At 43.8% G+C, this 9999-nt stretch overlaps 2 annotated features.

The window, feature by feature from the left end:
* Positions 4186–4355: an enhancer, noted in NCBI's record as "experimental_50247 CRE fragment used in MPRA reporter constructs". NCBI's record gives its function as "activates a minimal promoter by MPRAs in K562 erythroleukemia cells, with activity observed for both the introgressed and non-introgressed 18:71833620 variant alleles {active_cell/tissue: K562}" and the evidence as "EXISTENCE:reporter gene assay evidence [ECO:0000049][PMID:34662402]".
* Positions 7054–7113: an enhancer, noted in NCBI's record as "active region_13494". NCBI's record gives its function as "activates an Ori minimal core promoter by ATAC-STARR-seq in GM12878 lymphoblastoid cells {active_cell/tissue: GM12878}" and the evidence as "EXISTENCE:reporter gene assay evidence [ECO:0000049][PMID:35858748]".

Raw genomic sequence — 9999 nt, 5'->3', positions numbered from 1 at the left:
TAAGTATCGTCATTGACCAAATCATTTTGTCCTTCTCCCCATTTGTCGTGCCACCCTCACATGATGTTATAATACCCATCGAATAATCATGACTGTCAGCAATAAATGCAGCCACTGACGCCAGCTGCAAGGAATGAAGTCAAGATTGTCCATGCGACGAATCTGACCTTTTCAACTAAGCTTTAATTTTGGTACGCTTTTCCCCCCCTTTTTATAAATTACTCAGATCTCAAGGTAATAAGCATGTAAAGGAAAACCTGTTAAACATCTTATGCTGTACTCGCCATTCCTTTAACTATTTTTAAACGAATTCCTTGTTCAGCACAAATTCAAGAAAAAGCAGAGAGTGTAGAAAAAGAGGACAGAGAGGGACATTTTATAATTTTTAGGAGATGTCTGTATTATGATTATAAACCAGAAAAGCACAGACTAATGTTTTTCTAGGTTGGATGAGAAATCTAGAAATAGGATATTGGTGGTAAAAGGGGAAGAGTGCCTTAGGAAGAGTCTTGGGCGTAATTTGGGGAGTACCTTTCTTCCAAGCTACACACAGCCAACTGTTGGTAGCATCATATTCCACACAGTGAGAAGCAAGGTGGGGCCAAGATGCCACTCTGGAAGGTCAACAGATAAGTGCAGAATATCTCATGCAAATGATTGAAAGCAAATGGTGACTCCGAGCTATGTAGGAGCTTCTCATGTAAATGGCTGCACCACCTTCACTGCAGTCGAATAAATGTGTTATCATGAAAACATTCTCTTCTAAACATGAACCACATCTGTAGGGTCAAATCAATAGATACCCATCAAAGCATTTACTGTGGTTCTAGTAACTATTTGATCAGAATATCCTTCCTTTTTGGCATTTTTGTTTTGTCATATTATAAAGTAAGTGGTCTTAGAAGGTGATTGTTCCATAACCATTTTTTTTTTTTTGCTGCCTTATTCCATACCCTGAAGAGCAGCATATGTGTTTCTCCTGCCAGCCCTGCTCCTCATGGTGATTCAGCCTTCTAGAGGCATTAGATTTATGTTGCTTATGCAAGACCACTTTTGTATGCAACGGGACACATCCGTAATTTTTGCAGCCTCCTATCTCTCATGGCTGGCACTCCAGGAATTTGGTAGCTTTCTCAGTCACTTTTTGAATAATGCATTGCTTGGGTATTAGAACTATAGGTACTTATAAGGTTTAGATTTAACACATTTTTTTTTTTCTGAGAACTTATTAACATCCAAATACTGTAGTAACTGGAGATACAGGAATTAAAATGATGCCTTCTCTATGTACAATGTAAAAGGAAGGCAAGAAACATACCGACAGTTGCGGGGTAACCATGTGCCAGCTACTGCTGAAGCCCCTTCCCTATGGCCTCATATGGTCCTTACAAAATCCCTAAGAAGTAGGTATTATTGTCCTCATTTAAGAGATGGGGAAACTGAAATGTAGGCAGGTAAAAAAACAAAAAAAACATGAAAGGCAACATTAGGTGATGTGTAAACACTCAGGATTTGAAAATCAGACATCCCTGGTTCCAGGCGTGTATGGTAAGATGACCTCGGGCCACACACTGCTGTAGCAGATGCTTTTGGTGGCCTCCTGAGGGGTGGTCTCCCACAAGGTGGGTTCACATTTCAATCTGGGAACCTGCGGATATTATCTTCTATGGTAAAATATGTGCTTAAGTTAAGGATTTTGAGAGGATGCATTAGTCCTGGGTTATAGGGGTGGGCCCTAAATTCAAGGGCATGTATTTTTGTAAGACAGACACAGAAGAGAAGACAAGTGCAGAGGAGATTATGATGTAAAGATGGAGGCAGAGACGGGGGTGATGTGGCCACAAGCCTCGGAATGCCGATAATTTTTAGAAAATTTGATTATCATTCCTATAGACATATTACTTCCCCAATTTTTTAATAAATTAAATAGAGAGACCATAGAAAATCCCGAAAGGGCTTCCCATGGATGTTGATGAAAATAATGCTAAATATTATGTTAAAGTAAAGAGCTAACATTAGCTAGAGTATTTCTGAATAAGAAGAGTAGGGAGAGTGACTTTCTCTTACTAGGTATCAGCATCTACTATGAAGCTATGTAGTAAATAGATAAGTGCAGTATTGGTATTAGCAAAAATTAACCAATAGAATGAAAGAGAGCCAAAAAATAGACCTGTACACATATGGGATTTCGGTGTATGACAGACGTAGATGTCAGTTCAGTAAATGGAGCTGGAATGCATGGTCATCCATACGGAAAACATAAAGTTGGATCACTACTTCATACTCTTAAAATAAAAATAATCAACTCCAGATGAATTAATGACTTAATATCAAAAACAAAACTTAAAATGGTTAATAGACAATGGAGATGAATATCCTTTCAATCTTGGTTTAGACTCCTTACACAAAAACTTGAGAAAGAGTACCTACATAAGACACAGTACCTTTTTACTTTAAAAGAAAAGATACACTTGATCTTGACTTTATTATCGTTAAAAACATTTGATCATCCAAAGATATCATATATAAAGCAAAATAGCAAGTTTAAAACTTGGAGATAGTCTTTTATGCACACAACCAATGGAATATTACTATCAAATATATAAAAACCTTCTTACAAATTAATAAGAAAATAGAGGCCAGGCATGGTGGCTCATGCCTGTAATTCCAACACTTTGGGAGGCCAAGGCAGGTGGATCACTTGAGGTCAGGAGTTTGAGACCAGCCTGGCTAATATGGTGAAACCCTGTCTCTACTAAAAATACAAAAATTATCAGGGAGTGGTAGTGGGCACCTGTAATCCCAGCTACTTGGGAGGCAGAGGCAGGAGAATCGTTTGAGCCTGGGAGGAGGAGGTTGTAGTGAGCCCAGATCATGCCACTGCACCTCCAGCCTGGGCAACAGAGTGAGACTTGGTCTCAAAAAAACAAAAACAAACAAATAAACAAACACAAAGAAAACAGAAAAATACCAATAAAAGCACATGCAAAAGACATGAACAGGCATTTGTCCAGAAGAAGGAACACGTAAACCACATAAAAATGTTCATTAATGATTAGTGAATGGGAGTCAAGACCACCAAGAGACCCCTTTTACACCATGTGGCTGGCAAATATGAACAAGACTGACAGTCACAGGGTAGGGCAGGATGCGACGCCACAGGGTTTCTTACAATGCACGGCTGGAAGTCACGCTGCTACAATCACTTACAACTTCTTAAAGTTAGCTGCCATAACAGAATACCACTGGCTTGGGGGATTAAACAACAGACGTTTATTTTCCCACAGTCCTGGAGGCTGAAAGTCCAAGATCAAGGTGTCAGCAGGGTGGGTTTCTCCTGAGATCTCTCCTCGGCTTGCAGATGTCCACCTTCTTGCAGTGTCCTCACATGCTACTTCCTCTGTGCAAATGCCTCCCTGGTGTCTCTGTGTGCCCAGATTTCCTTTCATTATAAGGACAAATCAAATTGGATGAGGGCCCTCCACCCTCATTATAACTTAATCACCCCTTTAAAAGCCCTATCCTCAAATTCAGCTACATTCAGAGGTGCTGGGGTTGGGAGGTTTCATCACAGGGGTTTTGGAGGCCAGAGGGAGACATAGTTCAGTCTGTAACAGGAGGCATCAGCCTCTGCTACCCTTAGCTTTCCCCTCTCTTCTTTCCATGGTTCTGTCCTTGTTTCTTCCTTCTTCCTTTCTGGCCTGTCCATCCATCCAGCTGTCTATTATCTGTGCATCTCACCTGTCCATCCCTGTCATCCACTTGTCCCTCCTCTCCTGTGCAGGCTCCTCTTCCTCTCTTCAGCCCTCAGCATCACTGTCCCTCAGCTTTCAGCCTGCTTTGCTCTTCTTCCTCATCTCACCTTAGGGAGAGTCATTACCATTCACTCTCCCTAGTCACGTTCTGAACAAAAGGCATTCCGGGAAACAAAGCATCCCAGGTGCCACTGCACAGTGACAGTGACATTCTGCTTAGGTGCAACCCAGCTTCCCTGCTTCCTGGCTCTGTGACCAGCCTGTGCATCAGTTACTTCGTAGGTACAGCTGAACTGCTGGCAGTAGCTAGTTGTCAGGAATGTGAAACCAGCTGATATTTGTGTGGTGCTTGGAACAATGGCATGTTGTGAGGGTTACATGGGAGTTTGTTAAATAAATAAATAAAACCGAGAGAAACTCCTTATCTCATGTTTAACTAGAAAGTTCATTTCAACCGTAGGGCTTCAACGGAAGAGTGCCAGCTGCTTCCTCGTGCAGGCAGCATTGAGTGCTGCGGTTCTCCAGGTACCTGCTCAATCAGTACTTGTTAATTTGATAACAAATTATGAGATTTGTTTAAAATGAGCTTATACTGTATTAATTATTACTGAGTAGAGAAATAAGTTGTAAGTGCGAAGACAACTATTCCACTTGGCTCATGGTTCTTTTGTGCAGTTTCTAATAAGATGAAAAAACAATCTTTCAAAAGATCCTGGGCGGGGAGTGTGGAAAGGTAACCTTGCTGTAACAGGGATGAATTGCAGGGGCTCGGGCGGCCTCCAGCCCCGCTGCCCATGACTTTATTCTTAAGCTTGTTGATCTCATAGCTGGAGCCGAGGTGAGCACTGCCTGTTTCTGCTTTGGGTCTAGCTTGGCACCCCGATCTCATGGCAACACTCACACTTCTCTAGGCAGTGGCAGAAAGACAGGAGCTGCTCCTTGTGCGGCAGGCTCACCTTGTCAGTTCCTTTTTGTCTGTCTCTCTGTCAGCATCCCCTGTGTCCCAGCAGCTGCTCACCCCTCCTAACCACAGCCAGGGTGAAGGCAATGGTGACAATGTAGCAGCCACCCCTTCAGGCCTCTGCTCTGCTCTTTCAGGGCCAGCGACCTCTGTCTGGCCTTGGGCCTGTCCTCCCCTCCAGCAGGCAGAGGCTGGCTGCCCCCGGCTCCTCCAGATCTGTCAGGCCTGCAGCTCCACCCCTCATTTCAAGGGTAGAAAAGGGCCTGGATCTTTCTGAGAAGGTCTGGAAGGGAAAAGACTGAGGATGCTAACACTGAACATGGAGGAGCCCTGCATGCTGGATCTCAGAAGACAAGGCTCACATCCAATCAGTGGTAGGCACTATGGTCTCGAACCAGGTCACAGAAATCTTTGTGCCAGATCTGATATCTGATTCCTGGGAAGAGAAGGCCACTTTCTGTAGAGGGGACAGGAGGATGAAAAGGACACTTTCTGTTTTGTCTCATAAAAGGAGGCGAATTTTTGTCATGCATATTTAGTGTACTTAGACTAGCATTATGGCAGAGGAAGGGATGGAAATTACAGAAATTTTGAAAGAATCATCATAGGAGTCAATGATTAATTGGCAATACATGTTTAAAAATACAGAGGATTTAAAGAACAATCTAGGATCTTAAGCCTGGGGAAGGAAGGAGTGGATGGCAATGGTGACTGTACGCTGTGGAAATCAGTAAGAACCTGGGGGAGTTGGAGCTGGTTATAGGGGGATGGCAAGTGCAGGGCTGGGTGTGTGGAAGCTGAGGTGACGGCAGGACTTGTCACATGGAGACTGAACCTGCCCAGCAGGTTCTGGCTGGGCACGGTGGCTCACGCCTGTAATCCCAGCACTTTGGGAGGCCGAGGCAGGTGGATCACGAGGTCAGGAGATCAAGACCATCCTGGCTAACATGGTGAAACCCCATCTTTACTAAAAATACAAAAAAATTAGCCGGGCGTGGTGATGGGTGCCTGTGGTCCCAGCTACTTGGGAGGCTGAAGCAGGAGAATGGCGTGAACCCGGGAGGTGAAGCTTGCAGTGAGCGGAGTTGCGCCACTGCGCTGCAGGCTGGGTGACAGAGCAAGACTCCGTCTCAAAAAAAAAAAAAGAAAAGAAAAGAAAAGAAAAGAAAATTCCAAGTAGCTGGGAATGTCTACTAGCAAAACAGACACAACAGTCTTCAAACAACCCATTACTAGAACTTCTTAAACTAAGGGTATAAAGGAGGGAGCCCAGGGAGGGTTGCCTGTCCAGAAGCTGGACCTTGGTGGGAGGACCGGCAGAACGGTGGAGCCTGACTTCCCAATTAGGCCTTTGCGAACCGGATTCAGCTTTCTCAGGACCACTGGCGATCACAGAAGGACGATAGGAGCATCAGGACACAATCAGCTCCTGTGCAGCAAGGAGGAGAGACACGGAGGAGCGATTTGGGATAGACGGTGATTTTGGAGATGACTCCTAATTTCCTAGCTGACAGCAGCTGTGAGCACCAGACAAAGACAGGGCAGGGGGAATGGGAATAGCACGTGGACTAAGAACCAATTTAAGGAGAATGGAGGAAAAAATGTGTAGCCAAAATTGTGAGGTTAGAGACAAGTTAGGATATAGAAAGAAAAACATGAGTGAAAGAAATAAATGTAATGATTCTATAGTGGGGAAAAAGAACAGAAAGCAGGATTTTCACAGATCTATATATTAATGCATGGAGTTTGGAAGACTTAAGAATTTCATGTAACAAGGTTAATAAAACCTAAGGCTGAGAGCAGGCTGAAGGATACACTCAGGTCTGGAACACAAGCCTGGGAGGGCAAGCAGTGGAATGTTTCCATGCTAAAATTTATGAAATACTTGGTGTGTATAAGGTATAACTTGTATGCAGGTGTGGATCCAAGTTTTCAGGGCCCAAGGGTTAGATAGGTTGTGGAGTCTTCCATAAGAAAGGAAATCATTATCAACACAAAATTAAGTACTGGGCTTTGGAGTCTGCGAAAGTGAGGGGCCCCAAAACTTAAGTTTTGTGACCTTCTGGGTAACTCACCCACCTGCAGTGAAAGGTATATAGTAACAGAATGAACACCCAGCAATCCACCATACTGTGTAAGAATTTGTCTAAGATGAACCCCTGGGAAACTCAATCTCATCCTCCTTCCTCCTCACCAGAAACAACATTCTCTTAAAACCTTGGCTTACCTTTCCCTTGCATTTCTTTACAAGGTTTTCACACATACGTATGTATCTCCAAAAAGTATTTATTTAGCTCCGTGTTTCTGAACTCTATATAAATTGCCAGAATACATATTTAATTTTGCAATTCGCCTTTTTTGCTTGAAGTGTTTGTTAGATTCATTGGTGCTGGCAAATGCAGCTGTTAGTTCCTTTTCCCTTGCTTGTCGAAACAAAGGCAGTTCCTGCTTTGCACATCTGCGGAACTCATGCAAGTCAGAACTCTCGCCTCAACTTGCACGGTCCCATGGTGACTGAAATAGTGTATCACATTTTTTTCCCCCCAATCTTTTGTCAAAACTTGCCAGTTTTTGTTCTTACATATCTTATACTTGGCTCCAGGGACATGGGCAAGAGTTTTTCTACGGTGAATACCCAGGGGAGGAAATTCTGTGTTATGGAGAATCTGCAGTTTCAACTTTTCTAAATAATGCCAAGTTGGGCATCCAAGTGGTTCCACGAATATACATCTCACCAGCAGGGGATGAGAGTTCTCTCTGCTCTATTCACCGTTTTATTCATTAAAAGTTTCTTACAATCTGGCAGATGAAAACGAGTAACCCATTCTACATTTTCTTGATTTTAGTGAGATTGAAAGTATTTTTGGAAGTATATTCGCCTCATGTTTTCCTCTTTACTGAAATGGTCTTTTGCCTGTTAGGGCAGCGTTTTCCTCCTTTTTTGGGGGGTCCTTTGTGTATCTGAAAAGTGATGCTTTCTTAGCTTTGTGTTCTTTAAAGTTTTCTCATTCGTGGCTTATTTTTTTTTTTTTCTGATAAAGTTCTTGATTTTAAAATCAAACTTTTTCTTTATGGTTTCTAATCTTGTGTCTTATTTAAGAAATCCTTTCCAAAATGTCGTAAGGATATTCTCCTGTCTAGTGTTGCAAATGTAAGGGTTTTAATTTTCCTGGAATTGACTCTTATGTGGTGTGGGGTAGAGATTTAATTTCATTTCCTCCCACATGGATATACGACTGTCTCAGCACTATTTGTTGAATACTGTACCCTTTCCATTGCACTGTAATGTAACCTCTGACACGTAACTAGTTTCCACAAATGTGTAAGTCTGTTCTGGGGTCTCTATTTTGTTCCATTTGTTCCACTGCCTTAATTGTCTATCGATGCATGAATGCCTTGCTGCACTTACTGGAGCTTTCTAGGAAGTGCAGATACCTGGTTGGGGAAGTACCTCTACCTCCATCTTCCGTAAAGGTGTGCATTCTTCAAAGAAACAGGTCAGCTCAGAGTAGTCCAGCAGGCTCACCACAGATCAGTCCAGCAGCCTGCCTCACCCATTCCTACACCTGTGAGCCCTGTGTGAGCGGACGGCGCAGCTGTGCAGACCAGCATCATCACCTGCTTTCTGCGGTGTCTCACACTGGCCACTGTTCCCTAGTCAGTTTCCTCCCTTCTCCTTCAGGGCTTCTTCCAAGCTTTCATCTTTCTCTTTAAGTCCCAATGCCACCCTTCCTTGCCACTCAGCTGACGACACACGGAGGCTGACCAGCTGGGCTCAGCTGCCAATGCATCATCTTTCCATAAACTCCTCTGCCTGAGCTGCTCTCCTGCCTCTGGTCAGCTCTGCTCTGAGTCGAACCTGCCGAGACCTTACTCCACTGTTCTCTTTGATCTTCCATGGGTTTCCAACCTCTCCTCCATGGCCTCCCTTCCTTTTGCACATTCCCCATTCCCTTCATCTTTAACAAAAATATAAATCCAATTTACAACTCAAAACAGAAAAATAAAATCCTTTCCTCAGAATCTGCTAACCATTAGAGGGAAAGAGGGGATTGCAAGATGTTGCTGGCCAGATGACCCCAACACACGGCAAGCTTGCCTCAACTGGCCAGCATGCTCCTCCCGGGGAATGCCATTGCCCCCTCGGCTCCAGCTGCTTCCTCTCTGCAGGCCACTCCTAATCTCGTCCAGTTCAGACAGCATCCTGAGCGCCAGACTTGAGAAACCTGTTGCTTCTAGGCCTTCACCTGGCTGACTGATGTACCTTGAGCTCAATGTAGAACTGACTGTTTTCTGCTCATGACCCATCCTGTCCTGGATTTTAACAGTCGATCAGAGGCCTGAGTTATTCTCGACTGCTCCCGCTGTGTGACTCCGGATTTTAACACAGTCAGAGGCCTGAGTTATTCTCGACTCCTCCCCGTGTGACTCCGGATTTTAACGGTCAGAGCCCTGAGTTATTCTCGACTCCTCCCCGTGTGACTCCGGATTTTAACGGTCAGAGGCCTGAGTTATTCTCGACTCCTCACCGTGACTTCCCACATGCACTTGGTCACAAAGTCCTGTCCTTCCCCCAGCCTCACACATTTCTCAAATGTACTACCTCCTCTCTAGCTTTATCCTCTCTCATCTCAACTATTACGGTAACCTCTACCTGGCTTCTGCCAAATGCAAGCCATCCTGCACACAACTACCACTTCTAAATACAGATACAGCAGCTTAATTCCCACTCAGATTCCTGTGATGCTCTTCAGGGCCTACAGGATCAAAACCTTAACACTGTCACACGATATACCTGGCCCCTGCACTCCACACCCCGCCCGCAAGCTTTTCCGTGGCACTAGACGACTCTAGTCTGACATATAGCATACCCTTAATCAATATGTTGCATGAAATCTAACAGATGGAACACATGAGTGGTACTATATAAAATAAATAGTAAGTGTAACCCTGAGTAGAAATCTATGAATTAGGAATTGGGGAACTGTCTCTGGATGAGAATAAGAGAAACAGAAGTAATATTGTAATGGCTTACCAAATGGAAATAAATGGATAAAGTATTACTAGCATTGATCAACAATAGTTATGAAGGGAGCTTGCAGGGTAGTTAGGCTGGAAATCTCACGGGGCTAAAAGCAGAACTTCTGATAAACTCTTGCCTTGCATATAATTTCTTCATTAAGGAGGAAGAGCAAACAGTGACAGGAGAGTCTGCTCTAGAGTTAGTTGTGAAAAGAGTTCACTGATCAGGTGTGGAGGAATGACAGAGGCCTTGGAGGAAAA

The sequence above is a fragment of the Homo sapiens genome, chromosome 18 (genome assembly GCF_000001405.40).
Source record: "Homo sapiens chromosome 18, GRCh38.p14 Primary Assembly".
Lineage (NCBI taxonomy): Eukaryota > Metazoa > Chordata > Mammalia > Primates > Hominidae > Homo > Homo sapiens.
The sequence above is the reverse complement of the archived record's forward strand: the minus strand, read 5'-3'. Positions and strand labels throughout refer to the sequence as shown.